General features: G+C 44.8%; 1 protein-coding gene across 1 annotated transcript in view, besides 4 other annotated features; it reads right to left on the reverse strand.

Moving 5' to 3' along the window:
* ASIC2 (acid sensing ion channel subunit 2) overlaps positions 1–15,309 on the reverse strand; it is a 1,143,682-nt gene that overhangs the window by 736,409 nt on the left and 391,964 nt on the right. The window lies entirely within an intron of this gene.
* Positions 847–1,386: an enhancer, noted in NCBI's record as "OCT4-NANOG hESC enhancer chr17:32077361-32077900 (GRCh37/hg19 assembly coordinates)". NCBI's record gives its function as "activates a minimal SCP1, AML or CMV promoter by ChIP-STARR-seq in primed H9 embryonic stem cells {active_cell/tissue: H9 hESC(primed)}" and the evidence as "EXISTENCE:reporter gene assay evidence [ECO:0000049][PMID:30033119]".
* Positions 847–2,163: a biological region, named in NCBI's record as "VISTA enhancer hs1725".
* Positions 1,005–2,163: an enhancer, noted in NCBI's record as "VISTA enhancer hs1725". NCBI's record gives its function as "enhancer in: neural tube[16/20] | hindbrain (rhombencephalon)[16/20] | midbrain (mesencephalon)[18/20] | forebrain[18/20]" and the evidence as "EXISTENCE:transgenic organism evidence [ECO:0001131][PMID:17130149]".
* Positions 1,387–1,924: an enhancer, noted in NCBI's record as "OCT4-NANOG hESC enhancer chr17:32077901-32078438 (GRCh37/hg19 assembly coordinates)". NCBI's record gives its function as "activates a minimal SCP1, AML or CMV promoter by ChIP-STARR-seq in naive and primed H9 embryonic stem cells {active_cell/tissue: H9 hESC(naive and primed)}" and the evidence as "EXISTENCE:reporter gene assay evidence [ECO:0000049][PMID:30033119]".

The following is a 15,309-nucleotide window of genomic DNA, read 5'->3' on the forward strand; positions in this document are numbered from 1 at the left end:
GATCTCACTATTGAAGGGGAACTTCTTAGTGGTCCCAACCTTAGCACCAGTTTCATGCACAGATCCTGAGCTGGCTGTCCCCATCTGGACCGCCCTCTCCATGGCTCCCTCCCACACCTCAGAGCTGTCACTTGGTGGGCTTGTCATGCCCACCAGACTGTTACTTATGGGAGGAGAGGACGACTGCCTCTCTTACAGCTTGCCCCGGCCTGACACAGCCTCCAGTCAACACCCACTTCACCGTCAGCCCTGCCTGCTCTCCAATTTGGTCTCTGTCATGCTCAGGCCTGTTCTATTTCTAAGTCCGTCCAAAGCCAGTGTGGATTGGAGAAAGAGGGTTATTGGCAGGTACAGGATTGGGGGGCCCAGCTTTGTGTGCCTTGAAATGTCCCATGCTGCCAACTCCAAGGCTGTGCTGCCAGTGAGCCTCAGGAGTGCCCGAGTCTCCCCCCATGCCATCTTCTGCCAGGCGGGACCTCAGTTAGGGACCAGCTGTGGGGACCAGCCTCCCTCTTTGATCTAAATATCCACTTTCCAGTTTTTCATGCAGTTCCTCACTTCCTTCCTCTACTCCTGTCCATTGCATATCTATTCTGTGCCAGCCACTCCGCTAGGTGTAGGGAATGTTGTTGTGATGTGTGGGTGTGCAGGGTCCCTGAGGGAGAAACTGAGGTTCAAGGAGGTCAGGTGAGGGGTGAGCAGATGTGGTGGAGTCAGAAGACCCAGAGAGCCCTTGTCCCACTCTGCAGAAGACTATCCAGGACCCTGGGCAACCCCTTCCTCTTTCCTGGACTTTGGTTCCTCATCCTTAAATGAACAGATTGCAAGGAACTGAGGGGGAAACGGTGGTTCCTGAGGTTTGGTAGACTGATGAAGACTGGATGCTCTTCTCAGATGAGCTCATGTGCACGATATTGTGCAAAATAAATTCAGTGCACTCAGGAGGCCCTGGAGCCTGGGGTGAGATGCTCGCTAGGAACCTTTACATTCCAGAAATAACTTAGTGCCTAGGGCCCAGTGGTTAATAACTCCAAGATGACTTAGTGCCGAGGGCCCTACATTTAATAACAGGACTTAGTGCCCAAGACCCTACAGTTAATAACTCCGAACAGTGCCCATGACCTGCACCCTATGTGGAGTGCACCCGGATGTCAGAGTTTGTTTTTCTGTTTATAATGCTTTGTTTGTTTTGTTTTGATCTAAGATCATTGAGACATCAGGCATTGTCTGATTGGGCTAGGGACTCAGCAGGGCTGATCTGTGATTTCTGGAGTCTTCAGAGAAAGCTTCCTGTATGTTTTCCTTCCTACTTACACCCAACCAGAAGCTTAAGGCAGCTGGGGATGGGGAGAAGGGGGTGATTCATCTTTCTAATAAAACACATCCATCCAGTTTCCTGGGGAAACACATTGGAGAGATCCCCAGGCAAGACTCAGGGAAATAAAGTAATAATGTTATCAGTCTTCACAGAGCTATTTAAATACAGATTGGGTTGCTGGGAGATGAAAGGGGGCCCCTTTTGTTATGAAAATGAAGGGAGATGGGAGGGTTGAGTTTGTGTTTTGATATGTTAATCAGCTTGGAAGCCACCCAGGGTAGGGACGGGTGGGGAGGCTGAGTTGCCTGGCATATTTATTTGTTCAGTTTAATTTAACAGCTAGGCTACAACTGGGCTGCAGTCGGGATTGTGTAAAGATGATTACAGCCCTATCATTAATCAGATGCCTGCAGGAGACGGCTCATAGCTTGCTGCTACCTTGGCTGCATACAGATCTGCAGCCGCCCTGACACGGCACCAATGTGGTCTCATTCCGCCATCTAGTGGCACTGCCAGGAATTGTTCTGGGAAAGTCAGAAAAACAAAGTATTTTGGTTTCTTTTTAAATGATGCGGCCACCTTCTAGAATAAACAGAAACTGCTGCTGTTTCTGAAGAGATAAGATATAGAAAGGTCTTTGGAAATTAAGTGACCAGTCTTCCCTTTTTACCGATGCTGAATTTGAGGTCTGAGACAGTAATTTTTTCAAGGACATAGTTTTTTTTTTATTGCGACTAGAATTTTGAATTCCAAATCCATTGATTTTCCTAACATACCAATGTATATAAACACGGATACGTCTCCATCCCTCACGCTTTCATCCATTCTGTTTTTCAACTCTTCTGTATAACGTTTTGGTTTACTTTTTCTTTCCTTTGGATTCAGATCCCGATTTCATTTAATTCTAGTTTCCCCTGCTCCCTGCATAGAATGACTTAGAGTCCAATTAAGAAACAATTACTCCAGCTGATGGAGGGTCAGGGGAGCTGCAACAGCAAAGAATGAACTGTCCTGTAGAACTGGTAGACTTAGGGGGCAGACCGGGTGTGCTGAGAGGCAGCGGGAGGCTGGGAGGGAATGCTAGGCTTTGGAGCTTTCCTCAGCCCAGCTTAGGGAAGCCGGGGGTGGGGGTGAGGGGTGGGGTGGGGGTGGGGAAGATTATACTTTGGTTTTACTCTTGTTAAAGATGTCCTTCTGTTAACATCCCACATTTGTCGTCTAAGCACCACCTGACAGAGCAGGCACTGGGAAGGAGTGAAGAGCAAGGCAAGTCCCTGCCCTCTAGAAGGTTGCAGTCTGGGTAGAGACTGACCCAGGAACACATACACAGAGTAGGGTCATTTTTCCAAGAGTAGACTCAGCTGGTGGCCCTCTGAGAGTCGGCCCTTTCAAACAGAAATTTAAAAAAATATTAAAATTAAGATAAAAAAGAGTTTCACTTTTTCCTCCATACCTCTCAGAGGAAATTAAAATGAATCTAATTTATAACCTTAGCACCACTTCTTCTAACCCCTTTCTCTCCACCTCAATCATTCCCATACTCTACACTCTGAACGCTTTCATTAGCAAAAAAAAGTCAAAAGGTGGGGTGGTTAGAAGAATGAAAAGACAAGCCACAGACTGGAAGAAAACATTTACAAAGCACATATCTGAAAAAGGAATTATATCCAAAATATACAAAGAACTCTTAAAATTCAATACTAGCAACATAAGCAACCCAATTAAAAAATGGGCCAATGATCTTAACAGACATCTCACCGAAGAAAAGATATATGTATTTATGACTCTTTCATGTCTTTTGGGGACTGGATAGACCATTTCCTTTTATCATTGAATAATATCCATGGTATGGGTCTACATAGATGGCAGATAAGTATACAAAAAGATGCTCCACATCAATGTCATTAAGGAACTGCAACTTACAACAAGAGTGAGATGCCACATACACCTCTGACAATGGCTAAAATCCAAAACACTGACATCACCAGATGCTGGTGAGGAGGTGGAGCAACAGCAACTCCCATTCATTGCTGGTGGGAATACACAATGTTGCAGCCACTTTGGAAGAAAGTTTGGCAGTTCCTTATGGAATCAAACATATTCTTACCATATAATCCAGCAATCAAGCTCCTAGGTATTTCCCCAAACAAGTTAAAAACATACATCCACACAAAAACCTGCACACAAATGTTTATAGCAATGTTATTTATAATTGCCAAAGAACTGGAAACAATGGAAGCAATCAAGATGTCCTTTAATAGGTGGATGAATACACTGTGGTACATCCAGACAATGGAATATTATTCAGTGATATAAAGAAATTGGTTGTCAAGCCATAGAAAGACATGGAGAATCCTAAATATGTATTGCTAAGTGAAAGAAATCCATCTACAAAAGCTACATACCGTATGATTCCAGCTATATGACATTCTGGAAAAGGCAAAACTATGGAGACAGTAAGAAAATCAGTGGTTGCCATGGATTGGGGGAAGAAAAGGAGGGAAGAAGGGGTGAAGCTTGGGGGTGGGAGTCTTTTTGGCCAGTGAAACTATCCTGTATGATACTGTAGTAGTGGACACACGTCATCATACATTTGTCAAAACCCATAGAATTGTATAACACAAAGAATGAACCCTAATGTAAACAATGGACTTTAGTTAGTAATGTGAAAAGAAAAACTTCAGCTGAATTAAATTTAAAGGAGTTTAATTGAGCAATGAACAATTCGTGAATGGGGCAACCCCTAGAATCACAGCAGCTTCAGAGAGACTCCAGTGCAGCCGTGTGGTGGAGGAAGATTCATACACACAAAAAAGGGAAGTGACGTAAGGAAATCGGAAGTGAGATACAGAAACAACTGGATTGGTTACAGCTCATCCTTTGCCTTATTTGAACACGGTTTGAACACTTGGCGGTGTATGAGTGGTTTGAAGTATGGCTACTGGGATTGGCCAAGACTCAGCTATTGTTACAGGTGCATACTCCTAAATTAGGTTACAGTTCATCCACGAGGTCTCAAATATAGAAGTACAGAGTCCTTCTCAGGCCATATTTAGGTCACTTTAACAGTAACAATGTATCAATATTGGCTCATCAATTGTAACAGATATATCACACTAATGCCTGTTGTTAATAACAGGGGAAACTGCAGCTGCCGGAAGAGAGCGTACATAGGAACACTCTATACTTTCTGCTCCATGTTTCTATGCACCTAAAACTGCTCTAAAAATCAATTTTAAAAACAAAAAATAAAAAGATGGGTGGGAAGGGGTACTGATTCCCTTCCTCCACCCCAGCCTCCCTGCACCACCTCTCTATCCCTGTTCTTTATGGGGTAGGTTGTCTGAATCTCTCCCTTGCATGTCCCTCCCCTCTTCTCTCACCTTTGAGAATCAACTCTTCTCAGCCCATCTTCAGATTCTGCTCCTAAAACATCAGGGATGATGGTGGGGGGAGGGGTGGAGAGTCCATCCGAGTTGGCAGGTGGCGTTCCTTCTGGTTAGAGGGGTTATGCATATTCATTGTGAGAAGGTTCCCAGCATCTGGGCTCCGGATGTCACACAGACACTCCGATAAAGCTATGGACATACCCTAAGGCCTCCTAGCTCTAAGCAGGCCCAGCAGCTCAGAGGTCACCCCTGAGCTCCTGGGGGCTTCCTGCTCCTGGGAGCAGCTAATTGTTTATGCATCTCTCTCCCTGGGTAAACTGCAAACTCTGAAAGGTGAAGACTACATCTAATTCATGCTGTTGTTCCTTCTCAGCATAACTCTAGCATCTAAGGCAGAGTATATGCTCAAACTTCAATTATCAAATAAATGTGTTGATGGGTTTAGTATATGTGTTAAAGAACAGTTCCCTATAGGCTGGTGCGGTGGCTCACGCCTGTAATCCCAGCACTTTGGGAGGCCGAGGCGGGCAGATCACGAGGTCAGGAGATCGAGACCATCCTGGCCAACATGGTGAAACCCCATCTCTACTAAAAATACAAAAAAAGTTAGCCAGGCATGGTGGCGGGCACCTGTGGTCCCAGCTACTCAGGAGGCTGAGGCAGGAGAATGGTGTGAACCTGGGAGGCAGAGCTTGCAGTGAGCCAAGATCGCACCACTGCACTCCAGCCTGGGCAACAGAGCGAGACTCCATCTCAAAAAAAAAAAAAAAAAAAAAAGAACAGTTCCCTATAGACAGTGAGAATGTTGCCTTGTATAACAAAAAGGACTTTGCTGATGGGATTAAGTTAAAGATTTTTGAGCTGACGGGATTATTCTGGATTATTCAGGTCAGGTCAAGGTCATCAAAAGTGTCCTTATGAGAGGGCAGAGGAAGGCAGGGGGACATTTGACTACAGAAAAGGAGAGGACAATGTGAAGAAGAGATCAGGGTGAGGTGGCCACAAGCCAAGGAATGCTGGCAGCCACCAAAAAGCTGTAAGAGGCAAGCAAATGGATTCTCTTCAAAACTTCTGTGTGGAGCACGACCCTGCTGTTACCTTGGTTTCAGCCCAGTGAAACCCATTTCCAATTTCTGACGTCTAGAGCCATAAGACCCTATGTCTGTGTTGTGTTAAAGCCTCTCAGTTCCTGATGTGTTACAATAGCAACAGGAAACGAATACAGCATCATTCACTGGAGATGTTTCCTTCCTGGTTTGGTTTATCTTTCTGAGTCTCTCTTTGGGATGTCACTAAGCTCATAGGCTTATGCTAAGCAGAAACCTGCTCTTAGAGATGAATGATACATTTGAATGGACATCATTGGAGACTGAATGCTTTAGTTGATCATTTAACACCCTTCATTGGGTAACAAAATCTACCAAACACTGTGCTCTGTTTGGGACATACTGAAAGGGAAATTAGTTCTTGGTCTTCAAGGAGTTTGCAGGAGAACAGGGAGGCAGTCATGTAATGAAGAAATACTAGATCTAACGTGACGTAAGAGTGTGCAAACATAAACACGCAGGATACAGAGGGGACCAAAGGAAGAGGTGACCCACTGGGTGAAGAAGGCATCAGAGGATATTTACAGAGGAGATGTTGCAGCAGCTGAGCCTTCACAGGCAAGTTAGGTGCACGAGGAGGGCAGAGAGGGCCCCTGTGATGTGCAGGGTGACCCCCTCAACATGGTGATGGATGATAAGCAGGGTGGGGAAGGGAGTGGGCATCATGACCGGGAACATTTGCTCCAATCTTGCTAAGCGCATGTGTGCATGGTCAGTACACCCAGCCGGCAGCTCTGCTTCCCGTTTTCCCTGTAATTGAACATTGCACCCCAATACTCTATCAGCATGATCTGAACAGGCTTGATCAATGAACAAGACAACCTTCAAATGGACCAACAGGATAAGTGGCATGGCCTTCAGCCAGCCAGGGCACCTGACCACAGGTCATCAATGTCTCCCCAGAGCCTTTGGACTGCTGACCACTGACCTATTCAATGCCAGCCTTGGCTCTGAGACAGCTGCTGACAGAGTCACCTGCAGGACTTTCCAAACACCAGCCCCTCAGATGGCAAGTGCAGCTCAGGTGTCTTTATGGAATTATCTATCAGATGCTCCTTATCACCAGAAAGTTGTTGGGCCTGCAGCTTTAGGATTAAGAGTTCAGAAATAAGTTCCCATATACACACTAGGGAGGGGACCTGTTTCAGATGTCAGAGCTCCAACTCAATTTTTTGACAGCAAGCCAAGGTGGCCTTCTGAAAGGATCACTCTCTCCTTCCACTGTCCTGCCACCTGCACAAGTGAGACCTACACTCACAAGAGCCAGGGCTTACCTTCTAGCATCTGGACCCAGGAGATGTTTCTGAGCTCCCACCTGGGCTGGGAAGGGCACTTCCTGCCCCTGCCAGCAGAGACTCTGAGGTAGGAAAGTTACTAAACACTTAGAGAACCTCTTTAAGAAGGTAAAGAGAAATCTTCAAGGTAAAGTGACAGCCCAAAGAGAGGCCCAGAAAGATAAACAGAACAGGAAGGAACAATCTCCAGTGGAAGATGCTGTATTGGTTTTCTCTTGCTGTTGTAACACATCAGGAACTGAGTGCCTTTAACACAACACAGACGTAGGGTCTTATAGTTCTGGACGAGATAAGTTGGAAATAGGTTTCACTGGGCAGAAACCAAGGTGACAGCAGGGTCACACTCCACACAGAGGTTTTGAGGAGAATCCATTTCCTTGCCTCTTCCAGCTTTGGTGGCTGCCAGCATTCCTTGGCTTCTGGCCACCTCAGTCCAATCTCTTCAGAGGTCCTGATACTAGTGAAGGAACAAGAGGACACTAATGTTGGGCTCTAGAGGGAGAACGCCCAGGGAGTTTCCTGATTCTTATCATGACTAGAATCCTTCCTGCCCTTCTCTTCCTTTTCCTCAGCCCCAGGAGGAGAACGAGGAGTGAGATTCTGGAAGATTCTCTTTGCTGTCATTGTACTACTGTCCCTATTCTAACAAGGGACAAAGTGAAGACACTTTCTCACTTGGGACTTCCTCCTAGTTACTAGCAGATTCTCCTGCGGGACAAAAGGCAGAAGTTTCCCAGGGTAGGCATGGTGACTCACACCTGTAATCCCAACACTTTGAGAGGCTGAGAGGTGGAAGGATTGCTTGAGGTCGGGAGTTCGAGACCAGCTTCCCTCCCTGGCTGGATGTTAGAGTTCTGCTCTTTCTGCCTGCTCCCCACTGTTCATTTTGCACTTAATGGCCTTGATTATGACTGAGAAATTCACAAGATCTTTGGACCAGCTCCTTACTTCAATTTAAGTCCAAACAGGAGGTGGGGGCACATAGCTCTCAGCTGACCCCACAACAAATACAGCTCTTAGACTTCTTTCCCTGAGCCCCATGTTTTATAGAAAACAGGAGTATACACAAGTAAATGTATCAAAACACTCTTCTGTATTCTGCTCTCAGGATCCACAGTTCAGCATTTTCTCAGAACAACCTGCAACCTTAAACATCTGTTCTGTGACTGACACTTTTAGCCCCAAGAAACATCCCTTTCCCACCCAACTCTTGCCCCATGTCCTCCAAACCAAAGGCAGCTGTGTTGGCATTCCAGGCAGGTGTGTGCTGAGAGGCTGCAACCTCAGAGGCCGACAGTGCTCTGGAAGATTGGGAGGGTATGAGCTGCAGAAGCCTTTCCGTAAGCAAAAAGAGAAATTAATTAACTTGTCGAATCCTCCCTCTCAGATAGCTTGAGAACAATTGATTTCTGCATAAAGAGGACGATCCAATTCTTGCTTATTTGGTTGCAATGTGTGGTTCTGATGAAACTCATGACTTGCTGCAGTATTCACAAAACCGCAAACACTGTACATGGTGGCTGAAGATCATGTAGCAATAATAACCAAAATTCATCCTTTTCTTAAATGTGTGTGTGTGTGTATATATGTGTGTGTAGGTACTGTATATGTAACATCTGGGAAGTGTGATACCAATTCTTAACATTATTGTCATATGAGTATAGATATTGCTACCAGAGCCAGTGAGAAGCTTAATATAAGTGATAGAGATTTTGTAATGAGATTCACATATTCAATATTTTTTGAGAAAATTATTTATTGTATACAGTCCCATTGCATTGTTTGAACATGTGTATAAAATGTATAGTCCTTTTATGAACCTAAGGATTGCTTTACTACTATTGACAATCCCAGTTGCTACTGTTTGCTATGGTTTGAACGTTTGTCCCCTCCAAAACTCATGTTAAAATATAATCCCCAGTGTGGTAGAATACATTAAGAGGTGGGGCCTTTAACAGGTGATTGAACAACAAGGGCTCTGCCCTCATGAATGGATTAATCCATTCACGGATTAATAGATTAATGAGTTAGTGGATCCATGGGTTATCATGGAGGGGGAGCTGGTGGCAATGTAAGAAGAGAAAGGGCATCCTGAGCTAGAACATTAGCATGCTTGAGTCCCTTTGCCATGTGATACCCTGTGCCGCCCCAGGACTCTGCAAAGAGTTCCCAACAAGAAGAAGGCTCCCACCAGATGTGGCCTTTTTACCTTGGACTTCTCAGCTTCCTTAAATGTAAAACATAAATTCCTTTTCTTTATAAATTACCCAGTTTCAAGTATTCTGTTATCAGCAATAGAAAGCAAGCTAATACCAAAAAAAAAAAAAAAAATGGTATTGAGAAGTGGGGTGTTGCTGATAACAGATACCTGAAAATGTGTAAGCATTTTCAGAAGCTGGAAGAATTTGGAAGAGCAGGCTAGAAAAAGCCTAGATCCTAGTGAGGGCTTAAAAGACAAGAAGATAAGGGAAAGTTTGGAACTCCTCGGAGATTTGTTAAGTGGTTGTGACCAGAATACTGGTAGAAATATGGACAGTAAAGACCATTCAAATGAGGTTTCACATGGAGGTGGTGAACAAGGTATTGGAAACTGGAGTAAAGGCCATCCTTGTTGTAAATTGGCAAAGAGCTTGGCTGAACTGTGTCCATGCCAGAGGGTGCTGTGGAAGGTGGAATTTAAGAGTAACAGAAGAGCATATCTGGCGGAAAAAATTTCTAAACAGCAAAATGCTCAGGCTGCTTCATGATTACTTCTAACTTCTTATGGTGAACTGCTAGAGAAAAGGGAAACAGAGTGAAAAAATTGGAAAAACGTACAGCCTGGCCATGTGGGAGATAATAATAAAAAGTATGTTCAGAAGAAGCCAAGGATGCAGCCTGTTGACCTTTTGCTAAAGAGATTCATATGGATAGAAGGGAGCCAGGTTCTATTCCTCAAGACAATGGAAGAAAGACCCTGAAGGCCATTTCAGAGATCTTTGAGGCTGCCCCTCCCATCACAGGTTCAGAGGCCTAGGATGGCAGAATGGTTTCAGGGGACAAGCCTGAGGTCCTCATGATGGCCTTGCTGCTCAGAGTCACCTCAGGGCTCTGCTCCCTTCACCCCCATGCAGTGCTCCTTGGCTACCCCAGCCTTGGATCAAGTGGTCCCAGGTGTGGCTTGTGCTGCCGCTCTAGAAGGTACAAGTCCATGTGGTGCTAATTCTATAGGATGACAGAAAGCAGAAGCTGTGGAGGCCACCCAGATTTCAAAGGATGGTATAGAAAGCCTGGTGACCCAGGCAGAGACTTGTTGCAGGGGTAGAGCCACCACAAAGTCCCCACTAGGGTAATGCCTAGTGGAGCCATGGGAACACACTCTCACCAGATGTAGCCCCTTGACCTTGGACTTCCCAGCCTCCAGAACTCTAAGAAAGAAATTTGACTTCATTATAAACTGCAGTTTCAGGTATTGTGTTATGAGCAACAAAAAGCAAACTAAGATACTGTCTCACCAGAGCAGTTTGTTAAAATTGGAATTAATTTTGAAAAAATAAAAGTATCTAAGAATTATAATGACTCAAAAAAAAATGGACTTATTTGACATAGCATTAAATAAAACATATATTATGTGAAAATACTGACTACAACACAATTAGCGATTCTGCTGGAATGAAAGCAGGAAAAATATTTTATGGAATATATATATAGTATTTATAAATAATGTATGTTTTTATTTTATTACTCATTTGAACATCACTGGATTGTCAACAGAACACCCAGATATGTGCAATAAAAATTGAAATCAGTCATCTTTGATGTTTTGCTGACTTTCAGACCTATACAAATCATAGCCAGATTTTATAAAGCAAGATATAAGTGTGTGTGTATATATATAAAGCTCTCTCTATAGATATGCATATATATAAAGCTATATATGTGTGTGTGTGTGTGCCATAGATTTATATATAAACAAACATAGCAAAATTATTTATGTGTATATAAAGCAGGATATATGCAAGATATATATATATATATACATACACACATACACAAATATGTATGGGTATGTGGGTGTGTGTGTATATATATAAAACCTTACTTTACATATACATGTATATACATAATTATAAGGTGTATTCTTGAAGGTAAGAGGACAGAACTTATTTACTTTGATGAGGGAGTTGATTTTTGTCTCTTGAATATTTAGACTTATGGTCTATGGGCTGCCATTGTTCTCTTCTTGAGCCCTTTAAATTTAAGAGTGGTCCTGTCCCCAGGCCCTGACTTTGCAACAAACCTGCAGTACCTGATTTTGTGAAATGCATGTATTAAACCTAAACAAGAGGCGCTTCCTTCTAAAATATTTGGTTAGCAGACTGGCTCTTGTATTCTAGGGCAATAATTTTTGGCTGAATGGGATACTCAGGTAGCTTATTAGATTCCAGTCTAGACACACCTGGATGAGTGTGTACCAGGTGTAGACATTCCTCATTCATCTGTTCTAAATCCAAAGGCAGCAGCTCATGACACTTTAGCTTTCTTTTTCTTTCTCCCTTTCCCACCAATTCTCTATGTCCAAACTTTCTGCCACCTTCATCCCAATCCATAGACTATCCTGCAAATACACTATTCTCAGATGTCACAGTTTAAGAGATTTTGTTGGATGGATTGAGTAATTTTTTTGTGTTGTTAAAATCCAGAGGGAACTGAGTGGTGCTTGGATTGAATCTGCTGGTTGGGTTATGGGAAATCAGCCATTTTGGAATGGGTGCTGGCTGAATGAAGGAGCTCTGTAGGGAATCCGGGGGCCCTCAACACAGGGATGGGATGGGGGAAGGCTGCCTGAACTCATGCCAGGCTCTGACTGAGCACCAGGACTGATTCAGAGGGACCACTCCAAAGGATCTTGCTGCAGATGTGGTCTGGCCTGGAAAAATATTCCAGTCCCAAATGGAATGGAGTGATCAACTCTCAGGGAGGGACTTCAGCTTGAGATGGAAGACGTGAGCTTATGCCAGTGGTGGCTCATGTGGTCCAGGCTGAAAGAAATGCCATGGCCAAGAACACAAACATATGATTTCAAAATGACACCAGTTACCATGGAGCCCCTCATACACTATGAAAGAGAAGCACAGTTGACTCTAATCATCTTCTACATTCACTTTTCTCTACCTTCTATTTCCCTCCCACCCTACAGCTGAGAATACAAACCTGTTTCAAAACCCACCTAAGACCTCCCCAGCGCAAGGGCTTTTTTTTTTTTTTTTTAACTTTCTACCACCCTTTCCAGAGTCCTCATTTCAAAGCCCACAAATCAGTTCAACCACTACTTGACCTTCCTAGGAGTCAGGGGGTAGGGATGGAACTGAGTGAGGACAGCCAGCACTCTCTATGGTAGGCAAGGGTGGATGAAGGCATGGAAAAACTGGTTCACTGACAAATGTCAGCAGGTCACACCTTCTTAAACTGAAAGGAGAAATGAGTGGGCCATTTGATCTTGCAAATGCCTGTAGCAGGGGCTCAGACCCAAGCGAACTCAGCAGGTGCTGAGAATGGTATGTAGGCTCCAGGCAGGCTGTGGAGGTGGCACAGCCCTGGAGGAATGGTGACATGGCAATGCTAAGCCCCAGATTTATGGAGGGGGGCAACCACCACATTGGGTCCTGGGACCCAAAAGACCTCACAGGATTGAAAAGATATCAACCATTTATAATATTCTCAGGGATTACAGCTCATACCCCATTCTCCATGTTTTGGATGGGGAGAAGAATTTGAATAAGGGGGAAGGAGTGGGTTATGGGAGCTTGTATTCTGGAAGCAGGCTGATGTGGTGTGCAGCAACTCACTTTTATAGTGAGTTTGCTTACCCTGAAGTTTTGGGTTCACTGAATGCAGAAACATGATGACCAGACCATTATAGTCACCATTTCATGGCTGCTCCATGAAGTGGTGATACCAGTGGTTTCCTCCCCAGGTCTACTCTTTAGAGACACAGTCTATAACCATTTTCAGAAAGGCCGCTCCCATAGTCCTTACTAAGTGGACACATGACTCCTCTCCTGGCCATAGCCGTTGCACAGCAATGGATACACGACTCAGTCCAGGCCAAGTGTATTTTTTATGTTTGAACTTTGTTAGCACTGGGCTCAAAGATACTGTATTTGATGGTAGGAGGGCACTGGGTGTCCCATGTTAGAGCAGCCATGGTTGGGGATGAATATGTGAGGAGAGAAAAAGGTTGCAGATGGGCAGAGAAGCAGAGGTGAGTGACTCCTGGAGAGGAACCTCAGTCCCTGACTTCCAGTCCGTTGCGGGGCCTTGGCTCCTGTCAGATACTTTTCTGTCCTTCTTGTTGCTCTGTTTTATTTAAGCTGGTAGAGTAGGCCCCATCTTTGCAATGACAAGATCCCTGAATCAGACAGGGAAAGGGAAGCCTACAGAGGAGAATGAACTTGACCAATGTTACACAGTTAAGTTAGAACCAGTATCAGATCTCTGACTCCAATTCCAGGGCTCTTTCCCCTCAACCATGCTGCCCCCAGCTTCAGTGAACCATGAGGAGCTCTCAGGATACAAGTCTCCTGACTACGACTTCTTGGAGTTCAGAGACCATATGTCTTGTTGATTGATCTCTCTCCAGGATTTAACATCATGCTTGGTGCATAGTATGTGCTCAGTAAATATCTGTAGAATGAATGAAGAATGAGTGGAGGAAGAACACAGCTTTAGGCTCATGATCTGGTCACTCTGTTCACTTAATTCAGATCAGCAGGGCAGGAAAGGGTGGGATGCTAGCTCCCATCTCTAGCCCTGACCTTCAGGTCTTTCAGCCCTTCCTCACTAAATTCAAGAGCATCCTCTGGTTCCATAGCAGAAGGGCCTTTTCCCTTCTCCTTGGGCACTGGGATGGATTGCGTTATCTATTGTTTACTAGTTTCCAGTTCCATTGCCAGGGGAGGGTTATGCTTTCCCTCCTTTCAAACTTAGGTGCACCCAAGTGACCTGCTTTGGACAAAGAAATGTGAGTGGAGGTGAGATGAGTCACTACTGTGCAGAAGTTTTAGGAGCCACTGCCGGACACATTTTCTCTTTCCTCTGCTGCATATTCCAAATAATGGCTGCTCCTTCCTTCTGGGTCCCAGAGTGAGTGAGGATGGTGCTGAGAAGATCCCAGGCCAACCTATGGTAGACATATGTAAAGTCACTGAGATTTTCTGGTTGCCTGTTACTGAAGCACAGCTTGCCTTTTTATGACTGATCCAGGGCCCTTACCCTCTCTTGACAGGTCCCTTTCCCCCAGCCCTATTCTTAGAAACCACTCTGCTTATCTTTGTTTGTGTTGGAGGATTTCCCCTGCATCAACTCCATCCTGGGGGCTGCCCTCCTACCCCAACAAGCCTTTTCTAGTTTAAGAGTCTTTGATTTCGGCCGGGTGCCGTGGCTCGCGCCTGTAATCCCAGCACTTTGGGAGGCCGAGGCAGGCGGATCACGAGGTCAGGAGATCGAGACCATCCTGGCCAACATGGTGAAACCCTGTCTCTACTGAAAAACAAAACAAAACAAAACAACAAAAAAACAAAATTTAGCCAGGCATGGTGGCGGGCACCTGTAGTCCCAGCTACTTGGGAGGCTGAGGAAGGAGAATGGTGTGAACTCAGGAGGCGGAGCTTGCAGTGAGCCCAGATCGCGCCACTGCACTCCAGCCTGGGCGAGAAAACAAGACTCTGTCTAAAAAAAAAAAAAAAAAGGCTTTGATTTCAGAATGAGAATGTACTGTCCTGGAGCAGCCAGCATTCACTGAGCCTTAGTGGGTGTGTTAGTCTATATTCTCCTGCTTATAACAGAATACCTGAAACTGGATAATTAATAAAGAAAAAGAATTTGTTTCTTACAGCTGTGGAGGCTGGGAGGTTTAAGGTCAAGGGAGTACATCTGGTGGGAACTTTCTTGCTGATGAGGACTCTGTAGAGTCTCAAGGCAGCATGGGGCATCACATGGCGAGGGGTCTGAGTGCACTAACTTGCTAGCTCAGGTCTCTTTTCCTCTTCTTATAAAGCCACCAATTCCTCCTCCATGATAACCTATTCATCCTTTAATTCATGAATGGATGAGTTCATTCTTGAGGGTACAGCCCTTATGGTCCAATCACATGTTAAAGGCCCCATCTGTCAATACTGCCACACTGGGGGTAAGTTTCTACATGAACTTTGGAGGGGACA

This window comes from Homo sapiens, chromosome 17 (genome assembly GCF_000001405.40).
Source record: "Homo sapiens chromosome 17, GRCh38.p14 Primary Assembly".
NCBI lineage: Eukaryota > Metazoa > Chordata > Mammalia > Primates > Hominidae > Homo > Homo sapiens.